This window comes from Homo sapiens, chromosome 18, assembly GCF_000001405.40.
Source record: "Homo sapiens chromosome 18, GRCh38.p14 Primary Assembly".
Lineage (NCBI taxonomy): Eukaryota > Metazoa > Chordata > Mammalia > Primates > Hominidae > Homo > Homo sapiens.
This window is the reverse complement of record NC_000018.10, coordinates 2,664,821-2,680,828: the sequence shown is the minus strand read 5'-3', so window position 1 is coordinate 2,680,828 and position 16,008 is coordinate 2,664,821. Positions and strand designations below refer to the sequence as shown.

At 38.2% G+C, this 16,008-nt stretch overlaps 1 protein-coding gene across 10 annotated transcripts in view; it reads right to left on the bottom strand.

The window, feature by feature from the left end:
* The window catches only part of SMCHD1 (structural maintenance of chromosomes flexible hinge domain containing 1), a 149,292-nt gene that overhangs the window by 124,189 nt on the left and 9,095 nt on the right, over positions 1-16,008 (bottom strand). For 8 of the 10 annotated variants that reach the window (XR_001753172.2, XR_935055.3, XR_007066135.1 and 5 more), the window contains exons 2-5: positions 14,597-14,672; positions 13,798-13,959; positions 7,466-7,548; positions 6,684-6,814 (exon numbers count right to left, since the gene is read on the bottom strand). Coding sequence is in view for 7 of the 10 variants with exons in the window: in XM_011525642.2 (XP_011523944.1) it covers positions 6,684-6,814; positions 7,466-7,548; positions 13,798-13,959; positions 14,597-14,672 (452 nt within the window). In the remaining 3 variants the exon portion in view is untranslated. Of the gene's footprint in view, positions 1-6,683; positions 6,815-7,465; positions 7,549-7,634; positions 7,813-13,797; positions 13,960-14,596; positions 14,673-16,008 lie in introns of those variants that run through there. The other 2 variants (XM_047437425.1, XM_047437427.1) reach the window with 2 other exon arrangements.

Sequence of the window (16,008 nt, the reverse complement as noted above, 5' to 3'; positions counted from 1 at the left end):
AATCAATCAGCAGCAAACATTTATCATTAACAGCTGTCTGAGGCAATGAAAACAGTTGGAGAAAACAAGAATCTGACCAAAAATATACAAGGAAAAGCTGGGAAATGCGAGGTCTGCAGGGTTTTGTAAAAGCTTCAACATATTCACTAGACTCAATAATTAGGTCATTTCCACGTGCAGAACTAAACACATGTTCAAGAAAGAATTGAGAAGGTCCTAATAATGACTCACCTCTAGCTTACCTTGAGGTTCACTACAAGCAAGAAGTTAAAGTAAGGCAGAGTTGTAAACTCTGCAACAGAGCACTAAAAACATACCCCACTATGCACACAGAGCCCCTCAGCAAAAGCTGGGAGACTTAGTGGTTCAAGGCACTTAAGATAATGTTTGATCACTAGCTGACCACAAAGCTAACTAATCAGAAACTTCAAGGGTAACACAAGGATACAGACTTAACAGAATTAGTTCAGGGAAGCCATTACATAAACAAACAACAGATGCAACAAGTCTTGGGGAAGGGGGTGGCATCAGATTTCCAGAGTTGCTACATTATATTATTATAATATGACCAGTTCTCAATAAAAAATTACAAGCCATGCAAAAAGATATTAAAGTATGGTTCACACACAGGAAAAAGAACAGTTGGTAGAGACTGTGGCAGAAGAAGCTCGGCTATTTTAAATATATTCAAAGAACAGAAACCATGTCTAATGAACTAAAAGAAAGTATAAGAAATGTATTTCACCAAACAGAGAGTATCAGTTGGGATAGAAATTATAAAAAAGAACTGAATAGAAATTCTGGATTTGGAAAAAACAATAACCAAAATGAAAAAATCACTTAAGAGACTCATGAGCAGATTTGGGTTGGCAGAAGAATCCATAAACTTGAAGGTAGGCTGATTGAAATTATTTAGTTTGAGGAACAAAAAGAAAAATGAAGAAAAAAGAACAGACCTGTACTATAGAACACCATCAAGTATATGGATAAGAGGAGTCATAGAAGCAAAGGAGAGAAAGAATACTTAGAGAAAAAAATGGCCAAAAACTCCCCAAATTTGAAGAAAAACTTTATTCTATATATCCGAGAAGCTCAATGAACTCTAAGTAGGATGAACTCAAATCCACACCTAGACACATCAGCATTAAACTGTCAAAAGCCAGAGACAAAAAGAGAATCTCAAAAGCAGTGAGAGAAGCAATTTGTTACACAGAAGTGATCCTCAAAAAGATTAACAGCTAATTTGTCAACAGAAACTATAAAGCCAGAAGGCAGTGAACGAACATATTCAAAGTGTTGAAAGACAAAAGACTGTCAACCAAGAGTTCCTTTTTTTTTTTTTTTTTTTGGAGATGGAGTCTCGCTCTGTCACCCAGGCTGGATGGAGTGCAGTGGCACCATCTCGGCTCACTGCAAGCTCCGCATCCCGGGTTCACGCCATTCTCCTGCCTCAACCTCCCGAGTAGCTGGGACTATGGGTGCCCGCCACCACGCCCTGCTAATTTTTGTACTTTTAGTAGAGATGGGGTTCACTGTGTTAGCCAGGATGTCTTGATCTCCTGATCTTGTGATCTGCCTGCCTCGCCCTCCCAAAGTGCTGGGATTACAGGTGCGAGCCACTGCGCCCGGCCCAACCAAGAGTTCTTTACCCAGCACAAGTAGCCTTCAAAAATAATGGAAAGGGGCCGGGTGCGGTGGCTCACACTTGTAATCCCAGCACTTCGGGAGGCCGAGGCAGGCAGATCACGAGGTCAAGAGTTCAAGACCAGCCTGGCCAATATGGCGAAACCTCGACTCTACTAAAAATACAAAAATTAGCCGGGCATTGTGGTGCATGCCTGTAATCCCAGCTACTTGGGAGGCTGAGGCAAAAGAATCGCTTGAACCAGGGAGGCAGAGGTTGCAGCGAGCTGAGATTGCACTACACACTCCAGCCTGGGCTACAGAGCAAGACTCCCTCTCAAAAAAAAAAACAAAAAAACAAACAAACAAAAAAAAAAAAAAAACAAAAAACGGAAAGATTAAGACATTCTAGACATTCTCAGATAAAAACTGAGGGAATTTGTTATTGGCAGATCGGCCCTAATGGAGCCACTAGAGAGAGTCCTTTGGGCTAAAATACCAGGATATTAGAAAGTATTATAACTCAAATACACATGAAGAAATAAACAGAAAATAAGGTAGCGGTAATTACATAATTAGAAAAGACAAGCCAGGCGCGGTGGGGCTCACGCCTGTAATCCCAGTCCTTTGGGAGGCCGAGGTGGGCGGATTACCTAAGGTCAGGAGTTCGAGACCAACCTGGCCAACATGGTGAAACCTCGTCTCTACTAAAAATACAAAAATAAGCCGGGAGTAGTGGCATGTGCCTGTAATCCCAGCATGTGCCTGTAAGCCAAGCCCAGGAGGCTAAGGCAGGAGAATCGCTGGAACCCAGGAGGTGGAGGCTGCAGTAAGCCAAGATTGTGCCATTGCACTCCAGCCTGGGCAACAAAGCAAAGACTCTGTCTCAAAAAAAAAAAAAAGGAAGAAAGAAAGAAAGAAAGAGAGAGAGGGAGAGAGAGAGAGAGAGAGAAAGAAAGAACGAAAGAAAGAAAGAAAGAAAAAGAAAGAAAGAAAAGAAAGAAAAGACAGTATAAATGCATTCTTTGTAAATCTTCTATCTGATTCAAAAGATCAAGGCATAAAATGGTAAATATAAAACTCTAGTAACAGGGCTATAATGTATAACGATCACATTTATACGAAAATGATAGTACACGAAAGTGGGAGGAGAACAAAGCTAAGTAGGAGCGGTTTTTGTATACTACAGAGTATGTCGTTGGTATTAATCCAGACTGGATTGTTATCAATTAAGATGCTGGTTGTAATCCCTAGAAAAACAACTAAAAATGTAGATTAACAACTATTGGCCAGATGCGGTGGCTCACTTCTGTAATCCCAGCACTTTGGGAGGCTGAGGCAGGTGGATCGCTTCAGCTCAGGAGTTGGAGACCAGCCTGGGCAACATAGTGAGACTCCACCTCTATAAAAAATTAGCCAGGTGTGGTGACATGCACCTGTGGTCCCAGCTACTTGGAAGGCTAAAGTGGGAGGATCACTTGAGCCCAAGAGGCAGAGGTTGCAGTGAGCCAAGATAGCACCACTACACTCCAGCCTGAACGACAGAGCGAGATTTGTCTCAAAAAACAAAACAAAACAAAACTATTAAAAGGATATTAGTGATTGCCAGGAGATAGAAAGTGACAACCACTTAGTACAGTGTTTCTTTTGGAGTTGTAAAAATATTCTGGAATTAGTGGTGATGGTTGCACAATTTTAACTCAAACTACTGAACAGTATGCTTTAATACTGTGAATTTTATGATACGTAAATTTTATCTCCATAAAAGATAAATTCAATGAAGATACATTTAAGACAGATACAAGCAATTAACTGTATAATATGTGAATTTTACCTCAAGATTAAAAATATTGAACCCTAGAAATTAATACGGATACTTTCAAAACTAGGAAAAAGTATACTGACATTTATAACTTGTTTTGAACTGTATTAAAAAACCAGATAAACTAATGGTGGGACAGATATATAAGGAGTAAAGCAACTATCAACGGTAAAACCTAGGTGTGAGTATATGGGTATTCCCTGTAGAATTTCAACTTTTCTGTATGTTTTTAAATGTTCATAATAAAATACTAAAGGAAAAAAAACAATGCTGAGGAAACACTCAGATCCAGGTTGTGGACCATTCTACAAGAAAACTAGCCTGAACACTACAGAAAAATTGAAATATTATGAAAAACACAAAAGCTAGGGAAACTATCATAGAATGAAGGAGATCGAACATGACAACAGGAAAAAAACTTATGAAAATCTTATGTTAAATATTGTTGCATTAATGATAAATTTCTTAGATGTAATAATGATTTTGTAGTTATTTATGAGAATCCGCTTGTCCTCAGAATACACATGCTACAGTATTTGGGAGTGAAATCTCACAAACTGACAGCAGTGTACTTTCAAATGATTCAGAAAAGCAAAGTGTGTGTGTGTAAGTGTGTAGACAGATCATAAATGTGACAAAATGTTAACAACTGATAAATCTAGGTGAAGGATATATGGGTGCTAGTTCTTTCATCTTGTCTATTGGCTTGAAACGTTTCAAAATAAAAAGGGTGGGGTGAGGGAGTAGTACCCAGGTAAATGAGAGTTACAAATAATATTTCCAAACTGAAATTCTCACATCTCCCTCTACTCTCCCCTCTATCTACTATGCTACAGTCACAATAGTCTCCTTTCTGTCCTTCAAACAAAATGAGACTGTCACAATTTCAGTCTTTGCTTTGCTGGTGCTTCTTCTACCTGAAACACACTTCTCACAGATCTTTATTTGGCTACTTTCTTCTGATCATTCAAGCCTCAACTCAAATATAATCTCAAAGAGGCCCTCTTCTCCAACCACCTTATCTAGAGGAGATGTGCATCAGCTCTATTATTCTACATTTTTTTTCTAGCAATCCATTCCTTCAACATTACTCTTACATTTTATTCATAGTAATAATAACTGAAATGCTTTTACATGTAATTTTTTGTATTTACTTCTGTTTCTCTCTCCAATACAACATAAGCTACAGGTCAAGACTGTTAGTTGTTTAGTACTTTTAGCCTGTTCTTGCCTTTCTTCTACAGCCTGTCTTCTATGACATCCATCCTTGTATCCAGAAAAAAACAAATGGAAGGAGTAAAGCAACTGAGCAGAAGCTAGAGGCTGAAGGGGTGTATCTGATATTGATAGAAATTAGAGTGGGTCAAGGAACTGATAATGGACTTAAAAGACAGTACGAGTACCTAACAGCTATAATAACAACTGATTGTTTACTGACACCAAACCCATAAAGCTAAGACTAAAACCAGCAGCAAAAAGATTTTTGCCAGAAATTACAATTTCCCTAATATTTGGTTAAGTTTAAAAGTTTGTTTTGTTCTAAGAACTAGAGAGAAATCAGAGTCAATGTCCCATGAATTCAGTTAAGATTTGCATTTCTTTCTACTCTTCCAGTTGATATAACTGATGTTTTTCTGACCATTTTGCCTAATCTACCATCTGTTCTACCTTCCCTTCCACCTAATACTTCTGTGATATGCTAAATCCTATCCTCACACTATCAAAGACAGTGGTCTTTGCCTTCTCCCTGGCTTTTTATAAATCCTTTAAATGCCACATATTTATGAAAATGGTGAAATAGAATGGTTGTGGAGAAATCTAGGCCAGGTGCAGTGGCTCACGCCTGTAATCCTAGCACTATGGGAGGCTGAGGAGGGCGGATCACCAGGTCAGGAGTTCGAGACCAGACTGGCCAACATGGTGAAACCCCATCTCTACTAAACATACAAAAAATAGCCAGGCATGGTGGTGGGTGCCTGTAGTCGCAGCTACTCGGGAGGCTGAGGCAGAAGAATCGTTTGAACCTGGGAGGCAGAGGTTGCAGTGAGCCGAGATTGCACAACTGCACTTCAGCCTGGATGACAGAGCGAGACTCTGTCTCCAAAAAAAAAAAAAAAAAAAGGCTGAGGTCAGGAATGAGAAGTAATAACTAAAATGACAGCTTCTATAGCTTATATTTATTGACTGTTTACCATATGCGAGGCTCTGTCCTAAGGATTTTACATGTACTAACTCACTTAGTTGTCATAAAACCTCATGGGATATTATCCCCATTTTATGGCTATGTAAGCTGAGGCACAGAGAAGTAAAGTAAGTTGACCAATGTCACACGATTAGTAAGTGGCAAGGCTAGAATCCAAACCAGGTTCAAATGATACAAGAGTCTGTGTTTTTCATACTACCTTGTCTCTTAAATGGCACTGTTAAGTCTTTACTAATTTGATTAAAATTCTGAGGGTGCTGAAATTTTAGAAGACCAATGTTTTAGCTATATTAACACACTGAGATTGATCCTTAAACGTGGGTGACTTTTCTTGACAAGGTAAAGAACAAAGCAGGTTATGAACAGACACCAACTATTTAGTAAGAATGACAAGAGACTCTTCCCAAGTATGTTGTTAGAAGTAGAGCAACATAGCTTAAAATATCAAAAGACTTGTGGGTCAAAGCTCTTCTTACTAGAGTTCCACTAATATCTCAAGAATCTAAATCTTTTTTATGTCTGATGGCTTTTAGCACATTTTGTTTTCCCTGTGACATCCTCATTCAGGATATTTTCTACAAGCACATTCTGATATATAACTCCACTAGATTCCACTCCTGAATGTTTTGCAAAAAGAGCTCTGAAAGTAGAGCAACAGTGAGCTCCACAGAACCACATGCAATTTTAGACATTTTGCAAATGGTATGAAGCGATTTCTAAAGCCCATTTTAAAATGATTCTACTGCTACAGAGGCTATACAGAGTTAGGAAAGGGGAAAAGCTCTCAGGTACCCAACATATCAACTCCTACATACCTCAGGAAATGCAAAATGAGCTGTTTAATGGAAAGGCACAATATTACATAGTTCTATTTCTGAGTATCAATCATAAAAATTCTATAATATAAAACCTAAATAAATATGTGAATAACAGTAAAACCTCCAATGTATCATATGCATCCAAAGGCATACCAGTTTTTTATCCTTACTAAAATACATAGCTACCCACAAAAAAAAAAAAGTAAGGTTTTCTAACCTTTCAAAGTCACCTTGCCTTGTGAATTTTGACAACCTATACACGGCCCAGTTGTTAAGCTGTTTAGAGGTCATTCCTCTTCCATTATCTATCACTGCAACAGCAGGTTTTCCTTGTGTTTCATCAAAAAGCTATGAAACAAAATAAGTTCAAAAAGACAGGAAAAGTCAAATCAATACTTAAAACATGAAAAGTTAAACATGAAAAAAATGATTCAACAGGCTCACTTATACATTACTGATGGAAGTGCAAATTAATACAATTTTCTGAAAGGCACTTCAGCAGCAGTATGTATCAAAAGCCTCAGAATTCTTCATGTCCTTTAGCCTAGAAATTCCATTTCTCACAATTCAACTTAAGGAAATATTCAGAGACATGTACCAAGGTGTGCAAGAATGTTCATCATTCCAGCATTCCTTCCAGTGGCAAAAATACAGAAAAAAAATCTAAATGTTCAACAACAGAACACAAACTACACAATTTATATTATAGCCAATAAGTCACTGCAACAACAGATTATATTGCAGAACATTCATGATATGACACATGTTAACAATGTACTGTTAAGGGAAAGTAGAAGATTACAAAAAACCAAAGGTACATATACATGTATACATATATGCATAGGAAAAAAACGTGAAAAAATTTTAACAATGGATGAAGAGATATCTGACAATTATTTCTACTTTTAGTTTTATCTCTATTTTCTCATTTTCTCCAATAAACTTTTATTACTCTTACAAAAGGAAAAGTTAAATTGCTTTACAGTATTATTTCCTTACCAATTTGATCTGTATTCTTCTAACCCCAATGTTACGAGAAGTAGCAGACAATGAATTGTCAATTAATTCCGCAAGAGCAAATGCTGCAAGAGATCAAGAAAACATTGCTTAACTTTTCCCTCCCACATACTTTATATAAAAGTTCAAAGAAGAAGAAACTATCAAGTACCTTAAAGCCAAAGAGCTAGAATTAAAGTATTATCCTGATCCTAATGATATAATACATAATAAAGGCATCATCACCAATCACCACCAGCATCAAAAAAGCAGTCATCAATCAGTACTTGTATGGCACTATACAGCATGAGTCAGCCAGCCATGATTCCTGGCTTCAAGGAGTTTATAATCTAAAGACAGACATACAGACATTAAGAGACAAACAGAAGACCATAACCATAAAATCAAATAGTCTGCAGTATGTAATTACATCAAGCACAAGTCCAAAGTAAGCACATCTAGAAATACGAGGGCAAATATGAAGTGATAATAAGTGTCTTTTTTTTAAATTTCCTATACTGCTCATCTGCAAGATAAGTGTCTCTTGAAAGCTAATTTGGATATAGAATTCTTATGACTAACAAATTTTTCAAGTGGCAGAATACATCTGTTCAACTGACACAGAACTGCTATAGATTCACTACCACACCACCAACGTGACATTCAATTTATCACTGGCTCAACATTAACTAATATTCTCCTTTCTTCAAGGTCACTATTCACACTATTTCCTGCTTTTATCCCTTTAGTAAAAAGAAAGGGAACATATCAAATTTACGTATCTTAATTCTGCAGAAGCTTAACCCCACAAAAGCTGTAATTAATGCAAAGTAGCATTTCACGCTGGATGTGGGCTCACGCCTGTAATCTCAACACTTTGGGAGGCCGAGGCAGGCTGATGACATGAGGTCAGGAGTTTGAGACCAGCCTGGCCAACACAGTGAAACCCTATCTCTATTAAAAATACAAAAAAATAGCTGGGCGTGGTAGCTGGTGCCTATAATCCCAGCTACTCGGGAGGCTGAGGCAGGAGAATCGCTTGAACCTGGGAGGCAGAGGTTGCAGTGAGCCAAGATTGCACCACTGCACTCCAGCCTGGGCAACAGAGCGAGACTCTATCTCAAAAACAAAAACAAAAAAACCAAAGTAGCACTCCAGCAAGCACTTCTACTCACCCTAAACACTCCAAGGACAGCTATGTTTATAAACGAATTGCAAAGAAGTTACCACAAATCAGATTATGTACAAGGGTAATCTGGCTAAGGTAATAACTCCAGAAAATGAAGAAGGGACACTGTAGGAAATGGCAGGAAAAGAAACCTAAAGAGAAATTTGGAAGGAAGAAATGAGTAGAATTTAGAATCTGATTAGATGAAAAAGAAGAGGGGAAAAAGAAATTTGCTTCATCACACAGGTACAACAGTTAAGGCTTGGATCAGTTTACTGAAAGTATAAAAAGAAAAGATCAAGGCCAGGCGCGGTGGCTCACGCCTGTAATCCCAGCACTTTGGGAGGCCAAGGCGGGCGGATCTTCAGGTCAGAAGATCAAGACCATCCTGGCTAACACAGTGAAACCCCGTCTCTACTAAAAAAATACAAAAAAATTCGCCAGGCGTGCTGGTGGGCGCCTGCAGTCCCAGCTACTCAGGAGACTGAGGCAGGAGAATGGCGTGAACCCGGGAGGCGGAGCTTGCAGTGAGCCGAAATAGTGCCACTGCACTCCAGCCTGGGCGACAGAGCGAGACTCTGTCTCAAAAAAAAAAAAAAAAAAGAAAAGAAAAGATCAACATAACTTGAAGAAATGTCCACCAGAGTCAAAAAGAACCAGAAGTAGGGAAACAGAAGTAGGGAAAGACCCGGGAATGTACTGTAAAGTCACAGAAATCAAGGCAAGATTTTAAACACTGGGGTTTTCTGCTTATCCATATAATGATGGTATGAATGAAAACTGATACGGTTTTCAACTGATATGGTTTCAACTGATAGGGTTTTCATATCATTTCATAATGATGGCATGATGAAAACTGATCAATATGAAACATAAACTACATTAAGAGTTTAAAATACTTCTGTTGACTCTATAATTATACACTTAGCAATTTATCCCCAGGAAAATAATTAAAGATTCATGGGCCAGGTGCAGTGGCTCACGCCTGTAATCCCAGCACTTTGGGAGGTCGAGACGGGCAGATCGCCTGAAGTCAGGGGTTTGAGACCAGCCTGACCAACATGGAGAAACCCCATCTCTACTAAAAATACAAAATTAGCCAGGTGTGGTGGTGCACGCCTGTAATCCCAGCTACTTGGGAGGCTGAGGCAGGGGAATTGCTTGAACCCAGGAGGCGGAGGTTGCGGTGAGCCGAGATCACGCCATTGCACTCCAGCCTGGGCAACAAGCCAAACTCCATCTCAAAAAAAAAAAAAAAGAATTAAAAGATTCACTCAATTTTCTTTTTTTTTTTTTTTAGATGCAGTCTCCCTCTGGTGCCCAGGCTGGAGTGGCAGTGGCATGATCTCAGCTCACTACAAGCTCCGCCTCCCAGGTTCAAGCGATTCTCCTGCCTCAGCCTCTCGAGTAGTTGGAATTACAGGCACCCACCTCCACGCCTGGCCAATTTTTGTACTTTTAGTAGAGACGGGGTTTCACCATGTTGGCCAGGATGGTCTCGAACTCCTGACCTCAAGTAATCTGCCCGCCGGGGCTTCCCAAAGTGCTGGGATTACAGGCGTGAGCCCAGCCAGATTCACTCAATTTTAAAATATTTAAGCACCTATGTGCCAGGCATTGTTCTAGGAACTGAATAAAGCAGATGAAGGTTCTGTTCTTAGGGATTTAACATTCTAATGGAGGAATATGGGAAAGAAAATATAATCATAATAAATAAATTCTATAGCATGTTAGAAGATGGTTTGTGCAATAGAGAAAAAAGAAACAGCAGAGAAATGAAATCAAGTAACAGTAAAGACACAGAAGGAATACAGTTGCAATTAAATAGACTAAGTTTTGTTGAGAACACAACAGATAACCAAGACTTGGAGGAAGTGAAGAAATGAGTGCAGGGCTAACTGGAGGAAAAGCATTCCAAGCAGAGGGCCCTAAGCTGAGAATATGGATGGCAGTGAAGGGGAGTGAAAAAGTAAGAAAGGTAGTAGAAACAAAGTCAGAGAAGTACAAAGCAGAGCTAGTAAGTCCCTGCAGGCAACTGTAACGACTTTGGTGTTTACTCTTAGTGAAATGGGGAGCCATGGGTGTTTTCAGCAGCGAGTGACACAATCCAATTTCTCAAACCTTTTATGGACAGGGATGAAAAGACAGGTACCAGTAACTACTAGTTAGTGTAATCTGGGTGATACAATGGTGCCTCCAGACCAGGTGGTAGCAATAGAAATGGTGAGAAATGGTCATTTTAAGATAAAACATTGAGAATAGGACCCAAAGGATTTTCTGTCAGATTAAGAGGTATGAGAGGTATGAGAAATACAAGTATCAATTTGATTTTTGGCCTGTGCAGCAGGAAGGACACAGTAATAATCAATTCAGATAGGGGGAACTATGTGTGGTATAAAATTCAGTGAGCAGATGAGGGTTCCCATTTTAGACATCCTAGAGGAGATGCCACATGGGCAGCTGGATGGATAAAACTGGACTTCAAGAGATAAACCCGGCACCATTTTCAATATTTAACTAAAAATGACCATTTCCTACCTCTTCCTTGTGAGAGTCACTTCTGTAATGATGTTATTTAGAACCATGAGATAGGACCTGATCACCAAGTGAGGAAGTAAGATACAACATAAAGGGCAAGAACTAAGCCCTAAGGCACTTCAATATTAATAAGGTGGGGAGAGAAGAAAGGGCAGGCAGTGAGGTAAGAAGAAAATCAAGGTGCTTATAATCCCACGGCTTTGAGAGACCAAGGCAGGAGAATAATTTGAGGCCAGCAATTCAAGACCAGCCTGGGCAACATAGTGAGACTCCATCTCTACAAAGAAAATTTTATTTTTATTTTTATTTTTTAGAGAGAGAGGCTCACTCTGTTGCCCAGACTGAAGTGCAGGGGTGCAGTCATAGCTCACTATAGCCTCGAATTCCTTGGCTCACTCAAGCAATCCCCCTGCCTCTGCCTCCCAAGTAGCTAAACAAGGCATGCACCAAAATGTCCAAATAATTCCTGTATTTTTTTGTAAAGATGGGGTCATATCATGTCCCCCAGGCCGGTCCTAAAGTCCTGGTCTCAAGTGATCTTCCTGCCTCAGACTCTCAAAGTGCTGGGATTACAGGTATGAGCTACTGCATCCAGCTACAATTTTTTTTTTTTTTTTAATTAGCTGGGCATGGTGGTATGCACTTGTAGTCCTAGTCATTCAGGAGACTGAGGCAGGGGGATTGTTTAAGCTTAGGAGTTCGAGGCTACAGTGTGCTATGGTCACGTTACTGCAAAAAGGAAAAAAATCAAGAATATGGACCCTCGAAAGTCAAGTGAAAAAAGTATATCAAAAAGGAAGAAGTGACAAAACAATGTCAAGTAACACGTCAAGAAAAATTAGAACTGAAAATTAAAAATTTATCACTGGATTTAGCTGTTGGTGACCATAAGAGCGTGGGTACAGTAGAGTGGTAGGCGAAAACGTCTGGTCAGAGTAAGAAACAATGGGAGGAAGAGAAGGACTGCTAATAGCGAATGCATTCAACTCTCTGGAGGAGTTTTGCTATAAACAGGATCAAAAAATTTTAGGCAGTAGCCAGTGAAGGAAGTAAGACTTTAGTGTTTTTAAGATGGGAGAAGAGCTTTTTTGTACAAAAAGAACAACATGAGAGGTAATAAATATACTAGTTATATATTCAAGCTCTGAAGTCACTCTCCTAAAGTTTAAATGCTGGCTCCACTACTCACTAGTAGTGTAGCAAGTCACCTAAAATCTCTTAGCCCCAGTTAATTCTGCAAAACAGGATCTTTACCTATATTATTTCCTAACATTAGCTACCACACAGGATTAAGGAGTAAATGAGACAACGCTCATAAGTACTTGGTACAATGCCTGGCACTGTAGCCAATAGTAATGACAGCAGTGGTAGTGTTACATTAAGAAAGCACACACAGATTTAGTCACAAGAACATTCAGAGTCATTTGTAACCATAACACAATTAAAAACAACCTAAATGTCTAATAGAAGAACACTGTTCAGACCGGGCATGGTGGCTTATACCTGTAATCCCAGCACTTTGGGAGGCCGAGGCGGGAGGATCACTTGAGGTCAGGAGTTCAAGACCAGCCTGGTCAACATGGTGAAACTCCGTCTCTACTAAAAATACAAAAATTAGCCAGGCGTGGTGGTGCCTGCCTGTAATCCCAACTACTCGGGAGGCAGAGGCAGGAGAATCACTTGAACTTAGGAGGCAGAGGTTGCAGTGAGCCAAGATCACACCACTGCACTCCAGCCAGGGTGACAGAGAGAGACTCTGTCTCAAAAAACAAAAAAAGAAAAAGAATACTGTTCAAATAAATTATATTACCTAAATATTATCAAAATATACAGAGACATATATATTAAAAGATGTTCACTTTATTTTTAAACAAAATGTAGGTTAAAGAAGTATGCACCATATAAAACCATTAAAAATCAAATAATATGAAAAGGTCTGAAATGATAAACACCAAAGTGTTAGTGGTGGTTATGTCTGGGTAGTAGAGATATTCTTTATGTTCTATTTGCTTATCTATGTTTTCTAATTTCCTGCAAATACACATATAATGAGAAAAAAATAATTTTAATACAAAAGTTTACGATGAACATGTAAGTAGTATTAGACACTTTGGCAAGTCCTGAAAGAGAGGATTCAGTAAACTAATTGATTTGTAAAGATCACTAGCAAATGGTCCAGAGAAAGGACAGAAACTAGCAAGTAGTAAAGGTAGAAAGAAATGATAAAGACATGGAAATATGAACACAAACTTCTTACTTACGCAACCTAGCTATATGTATTTGCAAAGTAAAACAAGTATTTTCTTAATTGGGAAAGGTCTATGGGAGGCTAGGAAATCAGGAGAAGAGAGTATACAGGCGATGGAAAGCTGTATAGGTCAAGACCCCTTATGAGTTGAAAAGAAAAGTTCTACTAGTAGGTTAGCTTTAAAGGAGAGTTTTTTTTCACTGAAGATGACACAGGTAGAAGACATAATAATACCGTGATGAATTTGAGTAAGAAAGAAAATGAGTGGTCTTCTAATAAAGTGTAATAAGAAGATTTACAAAAAGTGAAGGAATGGGATACGTAATCAGGGGATAAAGGCAGGTAATAATTTATCAAAATTAGTATGAATGGGATACTTACGCAAAGGATTTTGTCCTTCACTGGCATAATATTCATACATGCCACTTTTAACCAGTGTGTCATAGTGAGGTAAGAAGTCAATTCGTTCTTTCGTAGCTGTCAGTAGTAACTGATTGACCGACTGTAGCAGGTATAAGGTGACTCCATCTTTAACAGTTTCATCTGTAATCAAGAGTGAAAATCATAAGTGCTAGGTCAGCATCAGAAACTCAATGAACTTATAATTGTGAATATACAAATTCTATCTATGAAATATCTTTAATGATGGTAAAGAAAAACCCCCAATCATCTACCTGTAAGCAAAGTCATGTTAAGGATATTAATGAAACAAGCACAAATACTTCCTTCCATTCATTTGAAACACTCAATTCTTAATAAGTTAAACTATCACAGGAAATCAGACGAGAATCTAAAATAGCGTAGTGTCAACATGAATGGAGAATGGTTAAATTCAGATGGAATCAGGCATGAAAAACCAGCAGGTCTTGGAAAACTAATTAGGTTAAAAAAAGATAATGGAATAATCCAAGTTGGTTAGCAAAATTAGCTTCAGAAGATTTGTGCTAGGCAGAATCATCTTCTGTAGCCATAACTGATATCAACTATTTTTCTATAATCAAGCTTGAAAAATATAACCTCTGTGCAGACTATGCACATGCAGCCAGTTTCCTCCCTCATCCCAACAAATTAACAAAAGTCATCAACAGATTTAGATGCATATCTAATAAAAGTTATTGCTATATATGTACTAAACCTTATTAAATATAAAAGCATCAACTTAGTAACACTGTTTACCTACCAAAATTATCACAGGTAATTTCTTTCCTACTTGTTGTTGTAATAACAAATTTTTCTTCAGGTGAAATGCCAAGTGTCTATCCAAAATAAGAAATAAAATCACTTATTACACAAAGGAAATAAATGTATTATTCAAATTTATAAAAATATGAAAATATTGATAGTACATTATAATTCTGTAACCACTACACTTATCTAGGAAATACAAAACTCAGTATATCTAAATTTTGCCTTTGCATAATTAATAGTGCATAAATCTATATAAATTACTTACTTAACAAGGTCATTTTTTCTGCTACTATAAGCAACCTAGGAACACTAGTGATTAGGTGGAACGTTTTAAAAGCATTTTAACATCATCAGCAGGACCCACCCAGACAAAAGACATAGTATTTCATACTAACGTACAAGTTATCAACTTATTTGGAACAAAGCTTTAACATAACTCATGTTCATATAGACTAGATATTTAAGTATGCAAAAACAAAATAGAAGAAAACAGAAGTTAGCATTTTATAGCACGGAGGGAAGAACAGCCATGCTTTGTAAGACATACAGGTCCATTCAAACGAATAACTTTAAAAATTAAAGCAAATTATAAATTAGAGGGAAACTGGCCAGGCATGGTAGCTCATGCCTGTCATCCCAGCACTTTGGGAGGCTGAGGCCGTCGGATCACAAGGTCAGGAGTTCAAGACCAGCCCGACCAACATGGTGAAACCCTGTCTCTACTAAAAATACAAAAATTAGCCAGGTGTGGTGGCGCACACCTGTAATCCCAGCTACTCAGGAGGCCAAGGCAGGAGAATCACTTGAACTGGGGAGGCGGAGGTTGCAGTGAGCCAAGATCACACCACTGCACTCCAGCCTGAGCAACAGAATGAGACTCCGTCTCAAAGAAAAAAAAAAATTAGAGGGAAATTGCAACAAGAAACAAAAGGGTGACAAGGATCAACAAAGAGAAAAAGTAAAAACACAAAAAAATGAAAAGGAGAAAATACAAATGACCAATGAACACATGAACTGTAAAATCACATTAATCAAAAAATGAGAATTAGAAAAGTGGTTAACATTTTCATTTACATTAGAATTAAAACATACATGCTCTGTCTAAAATGAAACAATACAGCAATATATAGTTAAGAGAAAAGGCTTCTGTTTCGGGTAGTAATGGACTAGTCTAAAGATTAACATTCTTATTGAAAACATCTAAAAAATCTAGACTAGTGATACTCAAATCTTCAAAAATGATATTAATAAAAACCATTATTGCTCACCACTGGGATGAGCTAGGGCACCAACTTGTCACTCTGAACACTGACAAATTAAAGGGAAAGAACAAATTATTTACACTGCTTTTCTTGTATCAATGGTACTTCAGGATAACCAAAATAGCTCTGGCTGATGAGGCAA